The sequence below is a fragment of the Homo sapiens genome, chromosome 19 (assembly GCF_000001405.40).
Source record: "Homo sapiens chromosome 19, GRCh38.p14 Primary Assembly".
In the NCBI taxonomy this organism is placed as follows: Eukaryota; Metazoa; Chordata; class Mammalia; order Primates; family Hominidae; genus Homo; species Homo sapiens.
The window spans coordinates 39327264-39354176 of NC_000019.10; the positions used below are offsets into that span (position 1 = coordinate 39327264).

Sequence of the window (26913 nt, forward strand, 5' to 3'; positions counted from 1 at the left end):
AGGGCAGGGTGAATTTTCTCTATGGACCAGTGTAGAGTGATTCTATCCCGAATCCCTCATGCAAAGGACTTGCCCTGATTGGGGGTGAGCGGGCAAGAGATAGGGTAGAGTGGGGTGGTAAGGGGATGGTGTGTTAAGGCTGGGAGGGCTTGGAGCTGGGCTTTTTGGACCCTATCCCCGGAAACACCAAGGTTGGGGGAACGGGCAGCCCAGGCCCAAGGTCACTATGTCTTTGTTACCATGGCAACAGCCACCTCTCTACCGGGAACCTGAAAAGGGGTGGGGGGAGGGAGTTCCCACGTCCCTGAAACCGGGGACAGAGAGGGGAACAATTAGAAACATGGAAGAGAAGCAGAGAGACAGAAAGGGTGTGATTCATCTCTGTGAAGACCTGCCCATCTCGGAATTCTCAGAGCCCGGTACATTGTGGGTACTTAATCAATGTCCCTCAGAGACAGACGCAGAAAGCCTGAGAAAGTTCGATGTCAAGAGATGCCAGAAAAAAGAAAAGAAGAATCTTCAGATGGGGGCAAGTGTCCCTTCCCTGTCTCCTCAATCTCACACCCCTGGGAGTCCACCGAGGGCCCAGGATCGACTTCAGCTTCCCCAGCCCTGGGTGTTCAGGCCTACCTGACCGTACAAACCATCCACCCCCCAGCAGCTCCTGAGATCCTGAAGCAATTACGTTCAAACCTCTTCGGCCTTTAAATTCTTCCTATCTAAGGGCTCAGCTGAGAAAAGTCGCATTCGGTGATGCCTCCTACCCCCCAGAGGTGGGGAGTGGGGGAGGAAACGGGCACTTTGCCTCCTTTATTCTCAGGGGTCCTTGTTCCCCTTGGGAGTGACCGCTCTGTAGATCCAGATATTTCCCCAATACCTCCAGGAGACCCAGGCCTCGCCCATCCGTCCCCCACCCCCCAAGGAAATCCTTCAGGCCCTTCCCTTTCTTTCTAAGAAAGAGGTATCCTCCTTCCCTCCCGGGACCCAGCTCGCATTCCTCTAGGTCAGCCCGCCCCCTGCTGGCCCAAGCCTCGTACTGCAGGAACCGTCGGCTAGAGCCCAGAAGAGGCAGAAACTGAGTCCAAACTGAGGATCTCCGAGTTTTTGCATTTTAAAATTTATTTAAAGTCTTGGTTGTTCAGGTCCTAGGGGTTCCAAGTCCCCAGTCACCTTGAGGACTCAGACATCAGGAATTCAGTCCCCAGCCCAGAGATCAACGAAAGAAAGACAACTTTTCTTGGAGCCAGGCCTCAGTGAGGTCATCAGTGGTGCGGATTTCGAACACCTGGGCAGAGAGAGGTCTCGGCATTATGATCTACTCAAACACTGAGACAGTGGCTGGGCACGGTGGCTCACCTGTAAGAGAGCACTTTGGGAGGCTGAGGTGGGTGGATCACTTAAGGTCAGGAGTTCGAGACCAGCCTGGCCAATATGGTGAAACCCTGACTCTACTAAAAATACAAAAAGTAGCCAGGTGTGGTGGCGTGTGCCTGTCGTCCCACTACTTGGGAGGCTGAGGCAGGAGAATTGCTTGAACCCAGGAGGAGGAGGTTGCAGTGAGCCGAGGTTGTGCCACTGCACTCCAGCCTGGATGACAGAGCGAGACCCAGTTCTTTAAAAAAACAAAAACAAAAACAAAAACCACTGAGACAGTGAGGACTCTAGTCCCTCTTCCCTCAGACCCAGGACCCACACCACCTCTCCCTAACACTCTGGAGCCCCATCCCAGTCTGAACCTTTGTGAGCTCTGCTGTCTGCACCAGCCTGTTTTTACTCCCTGCATACATCATCTGTTGTTCCGGCTTGCAGCCTGCGTGGAAAAGAGGAGAAAGGCACATCAGTGGGGACCCAGGCGTGTTCTCTAAAGCTCTAGTAATGTCCTGAAGGCCCTGCAGCTTGCCAAGGGTCCTAGGAGCTCTTCTAAGGAGGTCCCTGCACTGTACTCAGTTTCTAGGTTGGCTTGGGGGCTTCAAGTTATTCTGAGGGTCTCTGGAGATGATTTAGGGGCCAGACGGGGATTTCTAGGTGAAAGGAAAAGGTGGGTTGGCTTAGGCCCCAGGACTGAGAACGGGTGGGCTCTTGGTGAATCTGAGCCCCCACCTCCACTTCACTGCCCTCCCACATCATGCGTGCGACACACACACATCCTCACCCAGTCACACACAGGCTGTCACATGCTCACACTCTTACACAAGTGCCTGCACACATTCGCATTTACACACAAACACACACACACAGAATCGAAGACCCTCTCCTGAGGACAGTAGAGCTGTGTCTCACCCACAGGGCTGGAGAAGATGAAACACAAAGGGTAGGACACTCGGCCATCGTCATGCACGTACTTGTAGCTGTAAACCACGAACCTACCGTGAAAGGGAATTGAAAATCAGGACTCTGGCCTGCAGCCCAGGCTTAACAGCCATTACCTGAGTCCACAGCCTTGAAATGTTGGCTGAGTCTGAGAACCCAGGGTTGATGTCTGGGACTCAGGGTACTGACCTCAAACACAACAAATGATTAAAAAATAATCATAGGGCCGGGCGCAGGACTCACACCTATAATCCCAGCACTTTGGGAGGCCGAGGCGGGTGGATCACCTGAGATCAGGAGTTCGAGACCAGCCTGGCCAACATGGTGAAACCTCGTCTCTACTAAAAATACAAAAATTAGCCTGGAGTAGTGGTGGGCGCCTGTAATCCCAGCTAGTCAGGAGGCTGAGGCAGGAGAATCGCTTGAACTCAGGAGGCAGAGGTTGCAGTGAGCCAAGATCACGCCATTGCACTCCAGCGTGGGTGACAAAAGTGGAACTCCATCTCAAATAATAATAATAATGATAGTGCTCATTTGACTCACAATTACTTTATAATATAGGTGCTATTAATATCCCCATCGTACAGATGAGAAAACTGAGGCCCAAAGTCACTTGCCTAAGGTTCTACAGATAGGGGAGAGATTTGAACCTGGGAAAGTGAATGCCAGCGTGTAAGTTCTCACCCCCTATGCAATTCTGTCCAGTGCACTTGAACCCCAGGTGCACTGTGACCAGTGATGGCTACAGAATCATCCAAGCCCGGTATAAAATGAAAATGTGGGGCATCTTGTTCAAGAAGCAGGAAAATTGTTTTCCTTTCTTTTGTAGTCTCTCTCTAGACTGATCATCGTCTTTTTTTTTTACTGTTATTAGAGACAGGGCCTCACTCTGTTGCCCAGGCTGGAGTGCAATGGTGCGATCCTAGCTCACTGCAGTCTTGAACTCCTGGGCTCAAGCAATCCTCCTATCTCAGCCTCCAGAGTAGCTGGGAGTATAGGTGCACACCACCATGCCCAGCTAATTTTTTTTTTTTTTTTTTTGAGACAGGGTCTCACTTTGTCACCCAGGTTGGAGTACAGGGACGTGGTCTCAGCTCATTGCAGCCTCGACCTCCCAGGTTCAGGTGATCCTCCTGCCTCAGCCCCCCAAGTAGCTGAGATTACAGGGGCGTGCCACCACATCCAGCTAATGTTTTTTGTGTTTTTTGCAGAGACAGAGTTTCACCATGTTGCCCAGGCTGGTCTCGAACTCCTGAGCTCAAGTGATCTGTCCACCTCAGCCTCCCAAAGTGCTGGGATTACAGGCATGAGCCACTGCGCCTGGCCTTTTTTTAAAAAATTTTAGTAGAAATGGGGGTCTTGTTATGTTGCCCAGGCTGGTCTTGAACTCCTGGCCACAAGCAGTACTCCCACCTCAGACTCCCAAAGTGCTGAGATTACAGGTGTGAGCCACTGCGCTCAGCCTGTCTTTTTTAGTTTGCTATTTAAAGTCGTGCTCCCTCGGGCATGAGGATATGCGCAGGCAGAGTGCAGATGCTCACAGGAACACCCTGTAACTTGTCAGGCAAGGGGTGCCTTCTGGACCCTGACCCTCCCTACACCAGCAGGAAACCCAAGGACAGCAGCGGTCACTGGGTGGGTGCAGAGAGTGGGTGGCTGAGAACCTGTTCAGGGAGGCAGCCAGGTGGTGGACTGCCTGTGAACCTAGCTCCAAACCCCAGCACATTTGTGTGAAGTCCATTGTCCCATCTGACTTCATACAAAACAGAAATTCAAAGATAAAACTATAAAGAAGGTGACCGTTAACCCCCATGTGTGAGGCCCCCTCCTGGGTGCGGGGCCCTGTGCAATTATCATATGCCCATGAAGCTGGTCCTTGTTGAGTCCTACAGCCTCTAATCCTAGAGACCCAAAATGAATTCAGTCAAGATGAAAAATCTTAGCAGACCAGTTTTCACAGAAATAGTCAAAGAGCTCTTCCACCAAAAAAAGCACCAGGCTCATGTGACTTCGCCCAGGATTCTACCTGATAGTTAAAAGTCGAGTCATTCCTTTAGCAGGGTGCAGTGGCAGTGCCTGTAGTCCCAGTTACTTGGGAGGCTGAGGCAGGAGGATGGCTTGAGCCCAGGAGTTAGAGGCTACAGTGAGCCAGGATCACAGCACTGCCCAATAGCCTGGGTGACACAGTGAGACCCTGTCTCTAAAAATTTTTTTAATAAAATAACAATAATAATAATTAATTTGTTTGCTACCTAAAGTGTTCCCAAACATTGAAAAAGAAGGAAAATTTCTTTTTTTGTTTTTTTGAGACAGGGTCTTGCTCTGTCACCCAGGCTGGAGTACAGGGGTGCTATCTTGGCTCACTTGCAGCCTCAGCTTCCTGAACTCAACTGACCCCCGACATCAGCCTCCCAAGTAGCTGGAACCACAGGCACATGCCACCATGCCTGGCTAATTTTTTTTTTTTTTAATAGAGACAAGGTCCTCCACCAGGCGCGGTGGCTCACGCCTGTAATCCCAGCACTTTGGGAGGCCGAAGCAGGGATCACCTGAGGTTAGGAGTTCGAGACCAGCCTGGCCAACATGTCTCTACTAAAAATACAAAAATTATCCAGACATGGTGGTGGGCCCCTGTAATCCCAGCTACTCAGGAGGCTGAGGCCAGAGAATCGCTTGAACCCAGGAGGCGGAGGTTGCAGTGAGTCAAGATCGCGCCACTGCACTCCAACCTGGGCAACAGAGCGAGACTCTGTCTCTAACAAAAAAAAAAAAAAAATAGAGACAAGGTCTTGCTATGTTGCCCAGGCTAGTCTCGAACTCCTGGCCTCAGGTGATCCTCCCGCCTCAGGCTCCCAAAGGGCTGAGATTACAGGTGGGAGTCATAGTACCTGGCCAAAATTTCATTTTTAAAAAATGATGCCAGCGTAATGTTGAAACAAAAACTCAACAAAGTTTGTACAAAAAAAAAAAAAAGACTCTTAAACCGGTATCATAAATAATCGGTATAAAATTCTGCAATAAAATATTGCTATACAAACAAAAAGTTCTAGAGTATGAACTCTTGGCCTCAAACACAGAGATTCTTTTTTTTTTTTTTTTTTTTGAGATAGAGTCTCGCTGTGTCACCCAGGCTGGAGTGCAGTGGTGTGATCTCAGCTCACTGCAGCCTCTGCCTGCCAGGTTCAAGCGATTCTCGTGCCTCAGCCTCCCAAGTAGCTGGGATTACAGTCACATGCCACCACGCCCAGTTAATTTTTGTATTTTTAGTAGAGACGGGATTTCACCATGTTGGTCAGGCTAGTCTTGAACTCCTGACCTCAAGTGATCCACCCTCCTTGACCTCCCAAAGTGCTGGGATTACAGGGATGAGCCACCTCACTCGGCCAAACACAGAGATTCAAAGTCCATGAATAGGGCTGGAACTCCAGCAGTCCCTTAGCCTATACCTCCAACATCACCCCTCCCCTCATGGCCTGATCCAACCCTTTCTTCCCCCAGGATACCTGGGCTGTCTCTCCGGCAACTCCATTTTGAGCTCCTCTGGGGAAATGTTCTGAGGCAAGAAAACAGAAGAAAAGACAAAGAATGAGGCAGGGCGCAGTGGCTCACACCTGTAATCCCAGCACTTTGGGAGGCCGAGGCAGGCGGATCACAAGGTCAGGAAATCATTCAGACCATCCTGGCTAACAGGGTGAAACCCGTCTCTACTAAAAATACAGAAAATTAGCCAGGCATGGTGGCATGCACCTGTAGTCCCAGCTACTCGAGAGGCTGAGGCAGGAGAATTGCTTGAATCCGGGATGCAGAGGTTGCAGTGAGCCGAGATCGCGCCACTGCACTCCAGCCTGGGAGACAGAGTGAGACTCCATTTCCAACAAAAAAATTAGCCAGGCGTGTTCAGGAGGCTGAGGCAGGAGAATTGCTTGAACCCGGGAGGCGGAGGTTGCAGTGAATCAAGATTGTGCCATAGCACTCCAGCCTGAGCAAAAAAGATCGAAACTCCGTCTCAAAAAAAAAAAAAAAAAAAAGAATGACCACCTTTAGGTGAGCACTTACCATGTGCCAAGGCATCGTTCTATGAAACACACATGGATTAATTCATGCAACTATCCCGTAAGTCTGTGGGGTAGGTCCCATCATTATGCCCACTATACAGCTGAGAAAACTGAGGCCCAGAGGTGTTAAGGCATTTGCCCAAGATTGCACAGATAGAAAGCAGCAGAGTTGAGATTTGAATCTGGGTTCGAATCATAACTGCTTCACTATACTGCCTTTCAGAGGGCCTGAGAGAGCCCCAGCCCCCAGTCTCCATGGATTCCCTTATAAATCCTTATCGCAACACTAGAGAAATAAGCCTTATTATCATTCTTGTTATTGATAAAGACAGTGAGGCCACCAGGGGGGTGAGGTCTACCCCCTTTTTTTTTTTTGTAGAGATGGAGTCTTTTTTTTTTTTTTTTTTTTTTTGAGACAGAGTCTGTCGCCCAGGCTGGAGTGCAGTGGCACGATCTTGGCTCACTGCAAGCTCCGCCTCCGGGGTTCACGCCATTCTCCTGCCTCAGCCTCCCGAGTAGCTGGGACTACAGGCACCCGCCACCACACCCAGCTAATTTTTTGAATTTTTAGTAGAGACGGGGTTTCACCATGTTAGCCAGGATGGTCTCGATCTCCTGACCTTGTGATCCGCCCGCCTCAGCCTCCCAAAGTGCTGAGATTACAGGCGTGAGCCACGGCACCCAGCCGAGATGGGGTCTTGCTTTGTTGCCCAGGTTGGTCTCAAAACTCCCAGCCTCAAGCAACCCTCCCACCTCAGCCTCCTGTGTAGCTGAGATCACAGGTGCACACCACTGTGCTTGGCTAATTTTTGTATTTTTAGTAGAGTTAGGGTGTTACCATGTTGCCCAGGCTGGTCTTAAACTCCTGGGCTCAAGTGATCCTCCTGCCTCAGCCTCCCAAAGCGCTGGGATTACAGGCATGAGCCACCATGCCTGGCTAGCTTTTTAACTTATATGGAAACTCTTTCATTTAAATGCCAATAAAGCATTATTATCATCATTATTAAGATCATCATCACCTTATTGAGCACATACTAAGTGCCAGGCCTTGTTCTAAACCCATTACAAGAATTAAATCACTGGATGTAAAAACAAGCCTATGAGATAAGTACTATTCTCCCCATTTCACAGATGAGGAAATAGAGACACAAACAGGCAAAGTCTCTTGCTGGGGGTCATGAGTGAGCTAGAACTTGATCTCCAGGGTTTTTTGTTTTTTTGTTTTTTGTTTTTGTTTTTGAGACAGAGTCTTGCTCTGTGGTTCAGACTGAAGTGTAGTGGCACAATCTCGGCTCACTACAGCCTCCATCTCCCGGGTTCCAGCGATTCTCCTGCCTCGGCCTCCCAAGTAGCTGTGATTACAGGTGCCCACCACCATGCCTAGCTAACTTTTTATATTTTTAGTACAGATGGGGTTTCACCATGTTTGCCAGGCTGGTCTTGAACTCCCAACCTCAGGTGATCCACCTGCCTCGGCCTCCCAAAGTGCTGGGATTACAGGCATGAGCCACTGTGCTCGGCCAATCTCCAGGTCTTTCTACCCCCATGCCAGGCTCTTCATATCAGTTCCAACCACTTGGTTCTCCCAGTCTCACCCTGTACCTCCCAGTCCCAATCACCCCAGCCCATCACCTGAAATTCTTCCTCCAGCACCACCATCTGCCGGTCTTTGTCCACCTTCACTGGGGAGGGGTGGCACACAGGGATTAGACACTCCCCCTGATCCATGGGGGACACAAGCCCAGCCCTCCCTATCTGCCCTCACCACCGCCCTCCCATCCTTCTGTGGGGGAAGATGTCACTCACTTATGATGGCTGCATTGTCTGTCTCTTTTCGGAAGCGGAATTTCCTCAGCTTTTCTGTTAGCTCTGGGTCTACCTCGCACACCACCAGGGAGTCAGACTGCCGGAGGGACCCAGGAAGAGCTGAAATGGCCTGGCCTCAGCCCTCACCCCTTCCCCAAACCTGTTTCTCCATCCACTAATGAAGAGGAGCATCGCGCCGGCCCATCTGATGCCTTTGTGAACATTGAGAAAAGGCACCCTTCCCACAGAGTAGATACCCCTCACCAGGGCACTCAGCTTGGGGGGCGGAGCAGAGGCTGGGTTCCCGCCTTCTCCACGGGGACTCTTGGGGGACACTCAAGGAGGTGCAGAGATCCACTTCCTGAGCCTAAACCCAGAGCCACTGTCTCTCTGTTCTTCCAGCCGGGCTGTTCACCACAGTTGGGCCCCCTTCCCGGCCCGTGACCTCCATCCCATAGCCTGACCTTCGCCCAGGTGTCCTCCAAGCCCCAGCCCCAACCCCAGCCCCAGCTCTTCCCATAGAACCCCTGGCCCCTGACCATGATTGTTCTGTCCACAGGCCTCTTCTTTTCTTAGTTCCGCTGTCTTCTAGGCGTGGGGACCGGGGCTGTAGGGGGGCGGGCTGTGCAGTAGGAGGAAGGTTTCATCCAACACCACATCCTGTTTATGCCCTTTCTGGGACAACTGTCACAGAGGGCTCCTCCCCCTCCTTCCTTCCCCTCATCTGCCAGGACCTGTCAGGAAATCGCTCAGACCAGGGTTCCAAAGCTTCCTTGCTGTGTGACCCTAGCTAAGTAACTTCACCCCTCTGATTTGAGATTGTGGTGAGGATATAAATAGCTTCACATCGGCCGGGCATGGTGGCTCACACCTGTAATGCCAGCACTTTGGGAGGCCGAGGCGGGCGGATCACCTGAGGTCAGGAGTTGGAGACCAGCCTGACCAACATGGCAAAACCCCATCTCTACTAAAAATACAAAATATTAGCCTGGCATGGTGGTGCACGCCTGTGATCCCAGCTACTCGGGAGTCTGAGGCACAAGAATTGCTTGAATCCGAGCAGCAGAGGTTGCAGTGAGCCAAGATCACATCATTGCACTCTATCCCAGGCAATAAAAATACAAATAAATAAAAATAAATAAATAAATAGCTTCACATAGCTGCCAGCATGGCAGACACAATAGGTACTAAAAACGAACTATTTTGCTCCTCCCCTCCTCCAGGTGGCCTTCCTAGATTTACCCCCATCTGGGATATTTGAATTGCAGGGCTGGAAAAGGGGAGTTTAGTCTTTTGCTGGTCAGACTGACGCCCATTATGTCAATGGCAAAATGGGGACCAGAGGGGCAACCCCACAGTGCCTGGGTAATGGTGACTTTTTTCCTGCACTTTTCCAACCTCACTAGCCTTGCAATGACCTATGAGGCCCTACAACAAGGGAGTTCAATCCCGTCAGACCGGTACCCAATTTTTTTTTTTTGAGACAGGGTCTCACTCTGTCGCCCAGGCTGGAGTGCAGTGGTGCGATCTCAGCTCACTGCAACCTCCGCCTCCCAGGTTCAAGCCATTCTCCGGCCTCAGCCTCCCAAGTAGCTGGGACTACAGGCACGTGCCACTACGCCCGGCTAATTTTTGTATTTTTAGTAGAGATGGGGTTTCACCATGTTGGCCATGTTGGTCTCGAACTCCTGACCTCAAATGATCCACCTGCCTCAGCCTCCGAAAGTGCTGGGATTCCAGGTGTGAGCCACTGTGAGCCACCATGCCCGGCTATTTTTTTTATTGAGTATTTTTGCACTGCCCCCTTTTCCCATCCCGAAATAAAATTCCTAGATAATATAACCTACTTACACACATAAATTCAAAAAAAAATCAATATAATGTCCTGACTGTCATATAAAGAAGAAATAAAAGGAATGTAGTTCACACAAAAACCATATGTATTTCAGTGAGAAGATAAAAGCAAACAAAAGACAATTTCCACAGGGTCCTAGGCCAACTGTGACTGGCCCACTTCCCTCCATGGTGGGCAAACCCCGGACCCTACACTGGACTCTACCCCTTCACCTACATCTCTGCAGCTGTCCTCTCTCTCCCTCTTGTCTCACCAACGTCCCCATGCCTCCTGGATCTTTCTCCTTAGCCTCCATGCAGTGTTACTTCTTCCATCTTAATTTTTTTCTTTTCTTTTTTTCTTTTATTTTGAGACAGGGTCTCATTCTGTTACCCAGGCTGGAGTGCAGCGGTGTAATCATGGCTCACTGCAGTCTCCAACTCCTGGGCTCAAGCCACCTTCCCACCTTGGCCTCCTAGGTAGCTGGGACTATAGGCACGCAACACCATGCCTGGCCAATTTTACTTTTGATTTTTATAGAGACAGGATCTCGCTATGTGGCCCAGGCTGGCCTCAAACTCCTGGCCTCAAGCGATCCTCCTGCCTCAGCCTCCTGGTGTGCAGGGATTACAGGCGTGAGTCACTGTGTCTGGCCTCTTCCATCTTAAAAACATAAAACTGTATCTCCTGTCCAGCTGCTGCTCACTCATTTCCTTCCCTTTTCTGCAAGATTTCTCAAAAGAGGCCGGGCGTGGTGGCTCATGCCTGTAATCCCAGCACTTTGGGAGGCCAAGGCGGGTGGATCACGAGGTCAGGAGATCGAGACCATCCTGGCTAACAAGGTGAAACCCCGTCTCTACTAAAAATACAAAAAATTAGCCGGGCGTGGTGGCAGGTGCCTGTAGTCCCAGTTACTCAGGAGGATGAGGCAGGAGAATGGCGTGAACCCAGGAGGCGGAGCTTGCAGTGAGCCAAGATTGCGCCACTGCACTCTAGCCTGGGTGACAGAGTGAGACTCCTTCTCAAAAAAAAAAAAAAGATTTCTCAAAAGAATAATCTACATTGCTGCCTCCAATTTCTCCTCCCAGTTTTCTCTTCTGCCTTCTCCAATCAGCCTTTCACCTGTATTCCTCTCAGCTGACATGCCCTTGTCAAGGTCACCCATGCACTCCACGGTGCTGGATCTAATGGTCAATTCTCACTCCTCCTCAGCCACATCTGACACAGCCCATCACTCCCTGTTCCCTGAAACATCGTCTTCATGACACCACACTTGCCTGGTTTTCTTTTTTTCTTTTCTTTTTTTTTTTTTTTGAGACAGGGGTCTCGCTCTGTCACCCAGGCTGGAGTACAGTGGCACCATCTCAGCTCACCGCAACCTCCGCCTCCTGGGTTCAAGCGATTCTCTCACTTCAGCCTCCCAAGTAGCTGGGATTACAGGCGTGAGCCACCACACCCGGCTAATTTTTTTTTTTTTTTCTTGAGATGGAGTGTCTCTCTGTCACCCAGGCTGGAGTGCAGTGGCACAATCTCGGCTCACTGCAACCTCCACCTCCCAGGTTCAAGCAGTTCTCCTGCCTCAGCCTCATGAGTAGCTGGGATTACAGGTGTGCGCCACCACAACCAGCTAATTTTTGTATTTCTAGTAGAGACGGGGTTTCACCATGTTGGTCAGGCTAGTCTCGAACTCCTGACCTCGTGATCAGCCCACCTCAGCTTCCCAAAGTGCTGGGATTACAGGTGTGAGCCACCGCGCCTAGCCATATTTTTGTATTTTTAGTAGAGACAGGGTTTTACCATGTTGGCCAGGCTGGTCTCAAACCCTCCCATGGGCCAGACACAGTGGCTCATGCCTGTAATCCCAGCACTTTGGGAGGCCAAGGCAGGAGAATTGCTTGAGACCAGGAGTTCAAGACCAGCCTGGGCAACATAGCAAGACCTTGTCTCTACAAAAAAATTTTAAAAGTAGCCGGGCATGGTGGCATGTGTCTGTAATCCCAGGTACCAGCTACTTGGGAGGCTGAGGTTGGGAGGATCACTTGAGCCCAGGAGTTTGAGGCTGCAGTGAGCTAGGATCACACCACTGCACTCCAGCCCAGGTGACAGAGTAAGATCCTATCTCTAAAAACCAAACAGCAGGCCAGGCGCAGTGGCTCACGCCTGTAATCCCAACACTTTGGGAGGCCGAGGCAGGCAGATCACTTGAGTCCAGGAGTTCAAGACCAGCCTGGGCAACATGGTGAAACCCCATCTCTACTAAAAATACAAAACTTAGCCAGGTTTGATGGCATACGGCTGTAGTTCCAGCTACTCCAGAGGCTGAGGCAGGAGAATCACTTGAACCCAGGAGGCAGGGGTTGCAGTGAGCCGAGGTTGCAGTGAGCCGCGATCGCACCACTACAATCCAGTCTGGGCAACAGAGTGAGACCCTGCCCCCCCCCCCCACACACACACACACACACACACACACACACACCAACAATGACTAAAATACTAAGTTATCTGTCACCACCCCTACCCCATTGCCTCTTGGACCTTGTCCTTCACTGCCCTCTTTTGCTCACTCCACTCCAGCAATGCTGGCCCCTTTGTGGTTCTGTGAATGATCCTACTACATGGCCTTTGCACTTGCTGTTTTCTCTTTCTGGAACCCACTTTCTCCTTCATTCCTTCAGATTTCTGTTTCAGTCTCACCTAATGAAAGAGGCCTTTCCCCATGTAAATTAATTCTGGCTGCATTACTCCATTCCCTTAGCTGCTTTCTTGTTATTTATTTGTTTATTTATTTAGAGACATAGTCTCGCTCTGTCACCTGGGCTAGAGTGCAATGGCAAATCTCGGCTTATTGCAACCTCCGACTCCTGGGTTCAAGTGATTCTCCTGCCTCACCCTCCTGAGTAGCTGGAACTACAGGCACGCATCACTATGCCCAGTTAATTTTTGGCATTTTTAGTAGAGACAGGGTTTTGCCACTTTGGCCAGGCTGGTCTCAAACTCCTGGCCTCAAGTGATCCACCAGCCTCAGCCTCCCAAAGTGCTGGGATTACAGGCATGAGTCACCATGCCCAGCCACTGCTTTCTTTTTCTCCTTGGTACTTATCACGAAGTTACACTGTATTTCCTTATTGTTTGTGTCCCCAAGAACTAGAATGTAAGTCTTTTTGTTTTTTTTTTGTTTTTTTTTTGAGACGGAGTTTCACTGTTGTTGCCCAGGCTGGAGTGCAATGGCACGATCTTGGCTCACTGCAACCTCCGCCACCCGGGTTCAAGCGATTCTCTTGCCTCAGCCTCCCAAGTAGCTGGGACTACAGGCATGTGCCACCACGCCCCGCTAATTTTGTATTTTTAGTAGAGATGGGATTTCACCATGTTGGTCAGGCTGGTCTCGAACACCTGCCTCGGCCTCCCAAAATGCTGGGATTACAGGTGTGAGCCACCGCGCTCATCCTATTGTTGTGTTTCTAGCACCTTAAGCAGAGCCTGGCACATATTAGATAGTCAAGAAATATTATTGAATGAATTAATGAACCAGCAGTTAATGAGCACAATAATTCTATGCAGTGTGAAGGCTGTTGCTTAAATGCAGGAGGTAGTGGATGGGGTTTGTGACATGGCCCCACCCTGGTGAAACAGCCTTTCCTCAAAGCGTCTATAATGCCACACTCTCCTGGTTTTCCTCTCTCTGGCTGCCTTTTGCAATATTCATCGACAGCGTCAATTCCTTTGCTCAAATCCTGCCTCTCTGTTTCAGGGTTCTGTTCAGTCCCTGTCTCCAGTGACCCTTCATACCCTCCCCGGGCTAGACCCCTAACTCCCACAGCCTCAATTACCATCTTTGACGATCCTTAAATCTTGGTCTCCAGCCTCAATTTCTCCCTTAAGCTCCAGACCCAGGGTTTGTGCACCTCCTGGACCTCGCTACTAGGCATCCACATTGGGCTTAGTATCTTCCCAACCTGCTTCTGGCGCCCAGTCTCCCGGCTAGAGGGGCCTGGTCCTAAACTTTTCTCCCCCTTCCACTCCATAGCCAGCCAGTGTCAGGGCCCGTTCGCTCTGCCTCCAGGGCGTCCCTCCCACCTGCACCTCCTTCCCTCCCCACAGTCCCTCCCTCGTGCAAACCCCCTCTTTCTTCCCCACCCCCTCCCCCAGCTGCCTCCCTGGACTCCCGATCCCGTTTCATTCCCTCCAATCCGCCCTCCATGTATAAGCCAGAGAGACATCTCTCCAAAACCCCAGACTCACCATGATCCTCCCCGGCTTGAAGCCCTTCACGGCTCCCTAGTGCCCTCGGGACAAGTCCAAACTCCCTCAAGTGGCCAAACAACTGGCCTCTGCTCGTTCCTCACCCCTCCCTGTCTTCAACTCGACCCTCCATCCCGACTGCCTCTCTAAGTGCCTGTAACAAGCCAGATCTCTGTCACCGAGAGCCTTCTGAACACAGGTCCCTCTGATTAGTTCACCCGGACCCAATACAGTTTGTGGAACGCACAGATCACAACCAAAGTCACAGCAACAACTCCCGTTTATTGACAGCCTCCTTGATCCTTAGCGCTTTCTGTGCATTCTCTTCCCACCCTAAAGGCTAGATCTCGCCTCGCCATTCCCATCGGAGAGAGCAAGCGGCAAGGCTGAGAACAGCGCGATGAGAAAGCCGAGCGCCCAGAAGCCCGAGTGCAGACGCCCACTGAGGACAGCCTTGGGTGAGGCGGGCCACCCAAGGGGCGGGGAAGAGGAGGCCTGGAACGCCTGAATCAGGAACTGTGACTTCGCTCGGGGCAGCTGGGGTGGACGCGCGCGAGCCTGCCCCCTGCGGGCCTGGAGGCCCAACCTCAGACTCCGCCGGGCCCGTTGCCCTGGGCAACGCCCCGCGCGCCCCGCCCCTTCCCCGCCCCCCAGCCCCAAACCCCAGGCCTGGCCGACTGCCCGTCACCCCCACGTCCGACCAATCCCGCCGAGGAGGGGGCGGGCCTCTTGGGCCCCGTTCCACCACCGTCGCTCCCCCCTCGCCGCGACCCCGCCTTACTCGGCTCACACCTCCCGCCCTTCGGGCTGCCCTCGCCGCCCGTTGGCTGGCGCGCCGTTCGTCACCCGGGCGTGAGCTAATGCCGGCGCGCGGCGGCCCCCGTCGGGGCGGGGCCAGGGGCGGTGACGCACGGCGCGGTGACGCAGCGCGACGGCGGCGGCGGCGGCGGCGGCGGTGGTCGGTGCGGGAGGAGGGAGGGGAGCTTGCGGGCCCGAGAGGGGGCGACGGCGGCGGCGGTGGCCTGAGGAGGCCCGAGCGGCGGCGGTGGCGGCGAAGGCCGAGGCGGTGAGTCTCGGGCCGGGCCGGCGCGGGGCGGCGGCGAGTCGGGGCGCGCGGGGCTCCCCTCAGGGCGACCCAGGCCGCGCGGGCGGCCCCGCCCCCTCAGGGACCCCGAACCGCGGGCGGCGGCGGCGGGCGGGTGCGGAACGCGGGCCTCGGGGGGCCGGGCCCCACGGGAGAAGCCCCGCGCCCGTCCCCAGTCTCCCTCCTGGGCCCTGGCCGAAGCTTCCCTCCGAAATCTTTCTCATGCCCTCGGGATTGCCGAGGGGCCGGGCCGGGGGCCTCTCCTCAGGACCCCCCGCACATCCCCCTCGGAGAGCCCCGGAAAGCCTGCCGATCCCCCGTGTGCGCCCTGAAAGGTCCCCGCAAAACCCACCCCTCCCGTGGAGTCGCCTCCTCGAGCCCTTCATGGGTCCCAGCAGCTTTCCTCGCAGACCCCCGCCCTTTGGCCCCGAAGCCCCCGTCCTCCTCCTGTCTCCAGAAATAGTCCTCGGAGGCCACTCCTCGTCCATTCCACAGCGTGGCTCTCATAGCTGCTCCAGGAGCCTCCCTCACGAGCCCTGCACACCTCCCCAAGGCTCCCTCCGGACCCCTGTCCATTCCAGAACTCTCCCCCGGAGCCCTGCCTCTCACAGCCCAACAGGCTCACCCGACTTCCCCCTCCCGGATCCTAAGAATTTTCCCTCCCACTTACCCCATTCCAGAAACCTCCTTGGAGATTTTCCGCTCATACCCCCTGCATTTCTGATTCCCCCTCCCAGAAGTCCTTCAGAATGCCCCCGACGGACCGTGATCATCTTCCCTGAAGATCTCCTTCCCATATCCCCAAAATAAATCTTCCTCACAGACTTTGTGAAATGCCCCCAGATCCCAAAAACTCACCTAGAAGACTCCATCCCCCTCCCCACCGTATTGCAACCATCTCTCATACACACTCCCCCTTCACGTATCCCTCTGGACCTTTCCACAGATCCCAAAAGTCTCCCCCAGAGGCCTCCTGTCTCCCCCTGGTCTCACCACCCTAAAATGCCCTAGAGATCACCCTCATGTAGCCCAGTGATCTTCACCGGGATCCCCTTCCCCACCCCCACTCATTCTAAAAATCTCCAGCAATTGCCTGAAATCTCCAGAGGACTCTCAGCATCATATTCCAAAAGCTTCTTCCAAAATCCCTTTTACATACTCCACATCTTTTCCAGTCCCCCACATCACACGCTCCAAAAATTGTTTAAGGATCCTGAAAACTTTCCTCATGGTTTTTCTCTCAGATCCCGTAGAACTCCCCTTCACTAACACCTCAGAATCCCCCCTTGCAGACCGGTTTTAGAGGAATTTTCTGAAGATCCTCCTCACAACCCCTGTAAGACCGTAAGATTCTCTTGGTGACCCCTCTGATATGCAGGTTTTCAGGACCCCCCCCCCCCACACACACACACAGCTTAGAGACCCCAGCGACCCCCTGGAGCCCTCCTGACGTATGTTCTTGAAATCCCTCCAAGACCTTCCTGACACCACCAGAACCCCTTGAATCAATACTTCTGCCTTACTAAGGGACTTTTCTAGAGATATCCCTCCCTGAACTTGCTCACACAGGTCCCCTAAATCCTCTAGAATCCCTTGAAGAAGACCCTCACACACACCTAATTTTCCCCCAAAATAACCCGAGCTCTTGCTCTGAGAAAGTCCTATAATTCTTTCTGAAAAACCCTCTCCTCTGACACTCTCTCAGAAGACCCCGCCTTCCCCATATACTCTTTTGGAGACTTTACTCAGCTTTCTCCTCAACTGAGATCTCTGAAGAGTTTTTCCTAAAAACATCCCTCTGTCATCCCACTCCAGGACCAGTCTCAGAAGACCACACCTTCCTCAGACACTTTTTAGAGAATTTTCTCCCAAATTGCCCTCCATCAGCCACCCACTCCCAGCGCTTCCTGAGACTTCCTCAGAACTTTCCCTCAGATTCCACTTCTGACATCCCCAAGAAACATTATTTAGGACCCTATCAGATTTACCCACTAACTTTAGAATTGCTATTTACACCCTCTCATTTCCCCATTCTCTTTCCTCTGAAGTCAACTCAGAGACCTTTCTCAGGGGGCCCCCTTTTCCCATTATCCCTTCAGAGGTCCCCAACATTCTCCAGACTCGTTGCCCAAGAGCCTCTATGTTTCCTTGTAAAGATTCTTGAGAGACACCTTTCCCCGCCCCCTTGAAATCCCAGTGCTCCGAGATCTTTCTTTCAGACCATTTTTCTTAGGTGCCATGCTCATAGACCCCTCTTCCCTTCAGAGATCAAGAGACCCTTAACACCCTCCTTAGAGACTTAGGATTCTCCCCATTTCCCTTTCAGAAGCCTTCTTCCTTCTCCCCTTTGAGGACCTCCTCACCAAATAATCCCTTCCCCTATAGCAGTGGTTCTCAGTGTGGTTCCTGGCCCAGCAGCAGCCACATTTGTTAGAAATACACATTCTTGAATCCCACTCAGATCTACTGAAACTGAAAACCTGGGAGCAGGGCCCAGCAATCAAGAGTTTTTAACAAACCCTCCTGGTCATTTTGATGCACACGCAAGTTTGAGAACCTGTGCCCTTTAGGAGGATTTCCTTTTCCTCACTAAAAGCCCCCTGAAAGATGCCTCAGGGTATGCCTCTGTGCCCTACTGCCCACTGCTGCTTTCCTGTTTCCTAGGAATCCCCTTTATGAAGTACCCATCCTCCAGAAAGATTTCTTACCTACCTTGAAAGGATCTTGGCTTCTCCACAAGGTTACTCCATCCTCTGAGCAGTTATTTCCGATTCTACTTTTGAATGGTTTCTTTTCAGATCTTCCTCAGTGCTTTCTCTTTCTGGCTACCCCTCCAGCCCACTACCAGCCTTTGGTGCTTCTTTAAATTGCTGCTTCTTTGAACACACATATCCATCTCTTCTTGTCCATCTGTTTCTTCACATAGGCACCCTCCCCTTGAGGCACCCTCAGGAGGTCTTTTCATTCTGTGTCTTACTGCCAAGACCCCTCCACCTCCATTGTACCTCTTAGAACACCACTCACCTTCAACCTTGTAGATTTTAATGTACTTGTCCACTCACCCTCACTGGACTAGGAACTCTGAAAGTACGGGATGTGTCTTGTTCTTCTCTGAATCCCACAAGGTGGGATCTACTCTTTGTAAGTTATTGGAAATCACTGGAGAATAAGCAGCTCTTCCTTCTGCATTTGGCCAGAAATCTCCAAGTTCCTCAGATCTCACTCCTCATTCAGGTTTAGTACACCTTCCCTGCCCCCTCCTCTCCTCTCACCTCCCTTTTTTTTCTCCACACAGCACCCTTTGCCTTTACTCCTGCCCTACTTGCTCCTGTCTTAGGGACTTTCTTTGTGCTGTTTCCTGATTCTGAGCTACCCCAAGTCCTTTGCCTGGTGACCTGCCTCACCCGTCCTGGTTGGCTTCTCTTAGCAGCCCCTCTCAGCTGCTAAGTCTGGAGCCTCCACAGAGCTCTTGGCATTTTTTCAAGGGATTCTGTTTCTAGGGCCCAGAAGGGGAAACAGAGACCCCAGGGTAAATATTGGGGCCTGCCTTCAGGGAGCTCACAATACCAGTAGGGGGCTTGGGCATGTACAGAGCAGAAAATGAGGTACAAATTATATGCTGTAGAAATTCAGCAGTGAGAGGGAGCCTTTTATTTGGAAAGACTTCACAGAAAAGGTGGTATTTGGGCTGGATAGTGTTCCATGGGAGTTGGGACAATGATGGTGCCCCCAGGCAGAGGAAACAGCTTAAGCAATGGGTCAAAGACAAAGCCTCCTCATCTCTCACCCATGGTATCTCTTCTCTTCACCCAAAAGATAGAGATGAAAGAAGACAGATTTCCTCCATTTGCATTGTATTTGCCAGCTGCACTTTAGTGACCTACAGAGTAATAATAATAATGACCACTGGTTTTTGAATGCTTTCTAACTGCCAGGCACTGTTTAAGTGCTTTACATGTATTCATAGGAGGTAGGAGTTTACCTACCCTATGAGGTAAGTAAACTACCATTATCCTCATTTTGCATATGATGAGATTAAGAACAGGTAGGACTAATAGAGGGTCTGTGGGCACTGTCCATTCCAAGATGGTAGTGCCTTGGGTCAAAAAGTTTGATTTTTAGTTAAGATAGGTTTGGCTGCAATGGGGCAGTAGTTGTTAGGTATGCAGACCCTGGGTCTGGACAGGATTTGTATCCCACATTACCACTCACCAGTTTTGTACCCTAGGACGAGTTACTTCCCTGGTCTTTTAGTTTCCACAGCTAAAAATATGAAGGAAATAATGATACTTTACTTCATAGAATTGTTACGAGGATTAAATAAGTTAATACATGTAAAGTACTTAGAACAATGTCTTGCCCATAATTGCAATGTTAGAAAAACAATAAAATAAAAAAAAAGCTCATATCAGCCAGAACTCTAAAAACATAAAGTGATAGAACCTTAGCTCAAAGTGGTTTAATGAAAAAAGTGGGGGATTAATTGGCTTTTGTTACTGGAAAGTCCAGAGCTAGGTTGGCTTCAGACCTAGCTGCATCCAGGTGTTCAAATAATTTTCTCAGTCATCTCCTCCCATTTCTCCACTGAGTTAGCTTCATCCTCAACAAGCTTCTGCTTTGGATGACAAATATGGTCCTCAGCAGCCCCAGGTTTTAACCCTACCTCCTTGGAAAGCCTTAGTGGAAAGAGAACTCTTTCTTGAGAGTCCCAGTTTGAAAATAGTTTCTTCCTTGAATAGATGTGAGATTATGCCAGAAGATCCTTAGAAACATATTTTGGGTTCTGTACCCTGCAACTCAGTCTCTGGCTTGCTGAGCCAAATAGGCCTGTGATTCCATCCGATGAACTTTCTGAGCAGTGATGGCAATCTCCCTCCCCACTGTCCCCCAGCCGCAGTCATTCTCTGCTCTGTGATTGTTTGGGTCTAGAGAGAGCTTGTGGCTGGTCTGACTCAACCACACTTTGCTTTGGGATATCACGGGTGATATGAGGTGATCAGCCTGGCTTGATGGTGGCCTCAGGGGAGCAGAATCCAGGAGTAATGGCAATACCCTCACCACAGTTTAAGGTTTCCAAGACACAGAACTTTGGAAGAGAGTTAAGTAGGATTGCTGTGAGTGGAGTTTTGTTTTGTTTGTTTTAGTGTAAACTTGTTGAATAGAAGCGGGTTCAGGGCAAGTTACAGAACAGCAGTGTATGGAGTATGCAAGTCTCAAATATCTCCAGCCTGCACTCATTCATTAATGCATGGAGGCACTATTCTAGGTACTGGAGACAGAGCAGTGAATAAAACATTCAAGGTCCTGAAATTCATGGAATTTATATTCTGATGGGGGGAGGAAACAAAAAAATCAGAGTGTGATTCATGCTGTGAAGGAAATAAAACAGTGTGAAAGAGAGGGTGGGAGTGGCCACTGTAGTAGACAGGGGGATCAGAAGAGGCCTCTTTTGGGAGGTGACAGTTGAGCCTGATAACCAGAAAGATGAGAAGGCACCAGTTGTGGGAAGATCTGGGAGTGGAACATTCTAATCTAAGCATTGTTACATGCAGAAAAAGGACCTCTGCAAGGTGGGGAAATTTATCACAGATATTTATTGAGGGCCTGCTATGTACCAGGTGCTATGCTAGGAATTGGAGATGTAGCAATGAATAATATAGCTACAGTCTTCCCTTCTCTCATGGATCTTACAGTCTAGGTGTTTTTGGAAGAGCTGCAGCCTTTGAAGAAACATCTCTTGATGATGATATCATAGACTCCTTCCTACTGGGCAGATGAGGCAGAATGGGGCACAGGTGAGCCCAGATCTGATTGATGAGAAGGAACCAACCTTGTGACGGTCCGGGGAAGAGCATTTCAGGCAGAGAGGTCAGCAGGTGCAAAAGCCCTGCCATATGTTCAGGGAATCGCAAGGACCAGTGTGGCTAAAGCCTAAGTGAGGGAGAGGGGTGAGGGTTGGAAAGGCTGACAGAAGCCAGATTACTTGCAGCCTAAGGGCCACAGTAAGGAGTTTCTATTTTCATTTAAGGGGATTGGGAAACTATTAGAAGGGAGTTTTTAAAAGCAAGACAGCGACATGATCTGATTAATTTTTTTAGAAAGCTCACTTTGGTTTCTGGGAGGAAAACAGAGGGTCAGGACAGAATCAGGAAGGAAAGTTAGGAGACAATCCATTTGTCCAGATGAGAAATGGTGACATGAATGTGGTGGTGGTGGTGGTAGTGAAGATGTAGAGAAGCAGATATATTTTGGGTGTACAGAAAACAGGACTTGATGATGGGATTAGAGAAAGAGAGGAATCTAGAATAATGATAATAGCCAAGTCATTTATGCCTCACAACTCTATGAGAGTAGGCACTATTATTATTTTCTGTCTTCCTTCTCAGTAGGTACTATTATTACACCCACATTACAGATGACAAAACAGGCATGGCAAGGTGAAATCACTTGCCCAAAATTACACAGGTAGTAAGTGGCAGGCTTATATTTCCAACCCGGCAGTCTGGTTCTAGAGCCACTTAGGTTTGGGGAAAGATAAGCAAGGCATGTGTAGCTGACATTAAGAAAAAAGAAATATCAAGACCTAATGACTGGGTCTTTGGGAAATGGAAGAAGTCAAAGATGACTCAAAAAAATGTCTCAGTTGTCCACAGAGAGGTGATGATTGAATCTACAGGAGTTAATTACATGCCTAAGTGAGAGAAAACAAGTGTAAAGAAGGGAAAGGAAGCAGAGAATAAACTTTTCGGGGGGAAGGGGTGTCAAGACATTTAGGAGTGGGAGGAAGAATGCTAGCTTCCTCTCTATTCCAGAGTTTACCGGAGCTCCCCATACTGTACTTATCTTCCAGGAGGCCCTGCCTGGCTTCTCCTCTCCTCTCCCTCCCTTCCCCAGCACCATTCATACAAAAAGCTCATTCTTTGCTAATGCAGTGGTGTACATGTTTTGTGTACGTATTTCAGGAGTTTCTGGAAATAATGGTTGATTCTTATAAGAGAAGTTGTGCTCCCTTGGCTTCTGACAGTCTCTTCTCAGGTTATGAAAGTGAGTTAACCCTAGGTAACTAGCCTGTTACCTTGTTCATGAAGTGTAAGTTCTCAAAGGCCTAGGTCGTGCTGTAAAAAGAACTAGGAATGGGTAAGAAGGCAGATAGGATCCCCTTATTCATCCAGAGATGTTGGTATTAAAGGGCCCTTAGGCCCAACTTTCACCTTGTTGCCCAGGCTGGTCTCAAACTCCTGGGCTCAAGCGATCTGCCCACCTCAGTCTCCCGAAGTGCTGGGATTACAGATGTGAGCCACCATGCCCAGCTTTCTTGCATTGTTAAGAGCAAGCAAGAGCTCTGAAGCCAGACTGCCTGGCCTTGAAAATCTCAGCTTGGTGTACAGTCTTGGGCAAAGTGACTTAACTTCTCTGTGCCTCAGTTGCTCCATCTGTAAAATGATAATATATTCATATATGTATGTTATATATTTTTGAAATAGAGTTTTGGGGATCAAATGTGCTTATCTGTGGAAAGCTGTTGGCAAAGGGCCTGACAATGTATGATGTATGAAGACATGCTAAGCATCATGCTTGCTATTGAAATGAAGTATAGAGGAGGAAAAAAGCATCATGCGCGGTATTTTTAAATACATTGTTTCATTTAATTCTTCTAACAAGCTTCATTGAGGAAGAAACAGAGTTACTTGTCATAGTCAATACAGCAAGTAAGTATAACAGGAGAGCCAGGATTTAAGCCAGGTCTGACTAACTCCACCATCCTGCTTCTGAATGAAGAGAGCTGGACTCCAGAGGCACTGTTTATGGGCATATGGGCCTTTTCTCACTGTTTGGGGCCAGAGAAGAAGCCCAGAGGGCAGTTTGTCCTGGAACATCTCAGCATTTTTTTGTTTTTGTTTTTGTTTTTGTTTTGAGACAAAGTCTCCAGTCCCCCAGGCTGGAGTGCAGTGGCGCAATCTCAGCTCACTGCAACCTCCACCTCCCAGGTTGAAGCGATTCTGCTGCCTCAGCCTCCTGAGTAGCTGGGATTACAGGCGCCTGCCACCACGCCCAGCTGATTTTTTGTATTTTTAGTAGAGACAGGGTTTCACCGTGTTGGCCAGGCTGGTCTCGAACTCCTGACCTCAGGTGATCCGCCCGTCTCGGCCCCCCAAAGTGCTGGGATTACAGGCGTGAGCCACCGTGCCCAGCCTTTCTCCAGGTGGGAGTGCAGTGGCATGATCTCAGCTCACTGAAGCCTCGACCTCCAGAACTCAAGTGATCCTCCCAAAGTAGCTGGGACTGCAGGTGCACACCACCACGCCCAGCTAATTTTTGGATTTTTTGTAGAAACGGTTTTGCCATGTTGCCCAGGCTGCTGATCTGGAACCTTTGGCTTTTGTTTTGTTTTGTTTTTGTTTTTTGAGACAGGGTCTCACTCTGTTGCCCAGGCTGGAGTGCAGTGGCACGATCTTGGCTCACTGCAACCTCTGCCTCCCGGGCTCAAGTGATTCTCCCGCCTCAGTCTCCCAAGTAGCTGGGGTTACAGGTGCACGCCACCACGCCTGGCTAATTTTTTTGTAATTTTTGTAGAGACGGGGTTTCACTGTGTTGCCCAGGCTGGTCTCGAGCTCCTGAGCTCAAGCGATCCACCCGCCCATGCCTCCCAGAGTGCTGGGATTACAGGCGTGAGCCACTGCACCCAGCCCTCTTAGCCATTTTGTTAACCTCATTTCCCACCTCTGGAGGTGGTAGGGGCTTCCCAAGAAGATCACTTGGACCTCTTCAAGTATGGTGGCAATATTGCTGGGCTGTTGGAGAGACTTCTGTTATAGAGGCTCCCCTCTTGTGTTTTTCCTCAAAGGCAAGGAGTCATTTTTGGTCACATGAGGACAAAGAGACCAGACCAGTAGTGCATTCTGTTTTGCATGGGAATTGTCAAGGCTCTTTCAGTTTTAACTGAAACCCAACTCAAACTGGCCTAAGTCAAAAACGAATTTATTCATCTATGTAACTGAAAAGAGTGGGCCACAAGGGGGAGGCTTCAGGCTAGCTGCATCTAGGTTTTAAATCATGTGAACAGATCTCCCTTTCCCCCTCCCCCATCTCTTGACTTTGCTGTCATCTGTTAGTTTCATTCTGAAGCAGGCTTCCACCGTGAAATAGAAGAGGTGGCAACTGGTGACATCATGAGACGATGTGTAATCTGAGCAACCCTAACCAAGAACTTATTTTCCTTAGTAGTTCCAGCAAAAATCCAGAGAGGACTATCCTTGGCCAGGCTTTACCCCATGTCCACTTCTGGAGCCAAGAAAGACAGTTCCTTCTCCAAGGGGAACCCAGGGTGTTGATACTAGAAGATGGAAATGGATACAGTAAGATGCTGCCACAGTGAGATGCCTCACCCAGGTCTCCCTCTGTCACTTCAGCCAAGCACATGGGATAGAAAGTAGCAGGCGGCCTCTGGCCCTTTAATGGAAGAGGGCCATCCAGTCCTCTCCAGTTAACATCTAGACCGAACACAAAGCATCCTTCTCTCATCCAGAAGACATAGGAACCCTACCTTCAGGGATGATTTTTTTTTAACAGTGAAATCTTAAAAGTAACTGTTTCACTAAAGCCTCCAGTATTTACTGAAGACTGTCAGAATCATCCTCCATCACTAGATCTTCTCCACCAGTCATGTTCCCTGAGCAGTGGGGTGGCTTGAAGGTATAAACCAGAGAGGCCCAAGGGAGGGATAGTTAGCAGACTTCTGGTCTTTTTCTAGTTTGTGCTCTTCTGTTCCAAGGACCACAGGTATGTCTTCTTCTGTGTAGTTGTTCACTATTGTTTCAATGTGATTCGTTTCCCACATTTGAAAATAGGGGGGGATTTTACTTTAAAATTCAGATATCTGGCTCCTCTTTAGGGGAAAAAAAAAAAAAAAAAAACCTAAGACGTAACAATACTGGACCCACATTCCTTCATGGTAGCAGTTGATAAGAGGTGGATAGTGACTTCTCCCTTTTGACCGGGTGTGGACTTTCCAACTCACCATAGTCCCAGTTGGCCTGCTTTGTTCAAAGCCTGGCCTTGTAAGCATCATGTTTGAGACCCTATTATGTCCGAAAGCTTTGCTTCTATCGTTTGGCCTGGGGGGAAAAGCTGGATTAATGTTTAGTCAGCAGCTTATTGGGTGGGTGGAGGGGGGGAACAGTGCTGTTGCTTAGGAAAAGTAACAACCCAGTAAAAGAATTTATGGGAAAGAGTGTGCACAACTTTGGTCTGTTTGTGGATTTGGTCGTTTTTTTGCTGTAAATGCTGTTGGTATATCAAACCTCCTGTCACAAATGTTCCCTCTGAAATAGTAACATGTCCTTCTATCTTATGAGTTGCCACCCAGTGAAGGAATCCCTCCCACTCCCGAGGGATGTTCATCCAGCCTCCGCTTGACCACTTCCAGCAGCCAGGGAGCTTATTACCTCCTCACATGGCAGCCAGTTCCATTCTTGGACAGATGCGTTATTTTAAAATTCTTCCTTATGTTGAAGCAGCTGCTGCCTCTTTGGGACTGAAAGCCACAAAATGCTGGAGCTGGGAAGGAAAACCGATTTTTTTAGGCGCGTGAGCTACCACTCATCCACCCTGCATCCAGGGCAAACATTGATAATTAATCACAGCACTCTTTCTCACTGAGTCAGGAAGTATGCTGCCTTAAAATTGTTTTTAATTAAATTCTTTTTTAAAAATTACAAAAGTAATATGTATTCACTTGCAACTAGTGAAGTAGTACAAAGTTATATAAAGATAGTGTTAATAATCCCCCTGTTTCTCCAAGATAGTGTTAGCAGCCGAGGGTGTATTCTTCTATACATTTATACACATATAGACATAAATATTCATATATAAGATATATAAGGGGTTTTGTATGTGGCTTTTTTTTAATTTAAAAAATGGCATTATATTGTACATATTACTGTGTAGCTTATGGACACCCCTCCAAGTAGTTACAGATCAAACATTGTATATAGCTTTGTTTTTTTGTTTTCTTGTTTTCTTTTTGAGATGGAATCCCGCTCTGTCACCCAGGCTGGAGTGCAGTGGCATAATCTCGGCTCACTGCAGCCTCCACCTCCCGGGTTCAAGCGTTTCTCCTGCCTCAGCTTCCCAAGTAGCTCGGACTACAGGCGCCCGCCACCACACCCGGCTAATTTTTATATTTTTAGTAGAGATGGAGTTTCGCCATGTTGGCCAGGCTGGTCTCAAACTCCTGACCTCAAGTGATCTGCCTGCCTCAGCCTCCCAAAGTGCTAGAATTATAGGAGTGAGCCACCACACCTGGCCAGATTAGGCATGTTTTTAATAGATACGTTATATCATACAATGTGGGATCTGCCCCAGTTTATTAATCATTCCCCATTAATGGATATTCCCATTCATTTCTTCAGGATTCTTCTCATCGCAGTGCTCCAGGCAGCCACTACCAATCGATTGGAGTTAGCCTGTGAGGTAAAACCTATTTGTCATGTCTCACCCAGTCCCGCTCCTTATCCTACATTCTAGAGAAGAGAACAGACTAGCTCCGTGATCAAAGTGAATCAGTGGCTTGGGCAGGACTA

General features: G+C 49.8%; 2 protein-coding genes across 51 annotated transcripts in view, besides 1 other annotated feature; one reads left to right on the forward strand and one right to left on the reverse strand.

The window, feature by feature from the left end:
- Positions 1 to 1095: 1095 nt before the first annotated feature.
- On the reverse strand, positions 1096 to 8780 carry GMFG (glia maturation factor gamma). Of its 3 annotated transcripts, none has more exons than NM_004877.4 (7): positions 8711 to 8780; positions 8172 to 8268; positions 7998 to 8047; positions 5814 to 5863; positions 2281 to 2363; positions 1737 to 1810; positions 1096 to 1285 (listed from the first exon to the last, which is right to left on the reverse strand). In NM_004877.4, the coding sequence occupies exons 1-7, from the start codon at positions 8711 to 8713 to the stop codon at positions 1214 to 1216; spliced, it is 429 nt and encodes a 142-aa protein (NP_004868.1). In that variant the 5' UTR covers positions 8714 to 8780; the 3' UTR covers positions 1096 to 1213. The 3 variants fall into 3 exon arrangements, with proteins under 3 accessions (NP_004868.1, NP_001398035.1, NP_001287937.1); NM_001411106.1 differs by having other exon boundaries at positions 8172 to 8291; NM_001301008.2 differs by lacking the exon at positions 8172 to 8268.
- Positions 14847 to 15276: a silencer, noted in NCBI's record as "silent region_10597". NCBI's record gives its function as "represses an Ori minimal core promoter by ATAC-STARR-seq in GM12878 lymphoblastoid cells {active_cell/tissue: GM12878}" and the evidence as "EXISTENCE:reporter gene assay evidence [ECO:0000049][PMID:35858748]".
- Positions 15158 to 26913, forward strand: part of SAMD4B (sterile alpha motif domain containing 4B) — a 48344-nt gene continuing 36588 nt past the window's right edge. For 16 of the 48 annotated variants that reach the window (NR_169273.1, NR_169271.1, XM_047439027.1 and 13 more), the window contains exons 1-2: positions 15158 to 15313; positions 26743 to 26803. The gene's annotated coding sequence lies outside the window, so the exon portion shown is untranslated. Of the gene's footprint in view, positions 15314 to 16861; positions 26804 to 26913 lie in introns of those variants that run through there. The other 32 variants (NR_169272.1, XM_017026919.2, NM_001384585.1 and 29 more) reach the window with 10 other exon arrangements.

What these genes read in the sequence shown, in the direction of transcription:
- GMFG (NM_004877.4), bottom strand. An exon ending in TGCTGGAGGAAGAATTTCAG is followed by an intron (nt 5,864 to 7,997) that starts GTGATGGGCTGG and finishes TTCTTGCCTCAG; the next exon opens with AACATTTCCCCAGAGGAGCT. An exon ending in AGACAGCAGAGCTCACAAAG is followed by an intron (nt 1,286 to 1,736) that starts GTTCAGACTGGG and finishes CTCTCTGCCCAG; the next exon opens with GTGTTCGAAATCCGCACCAC.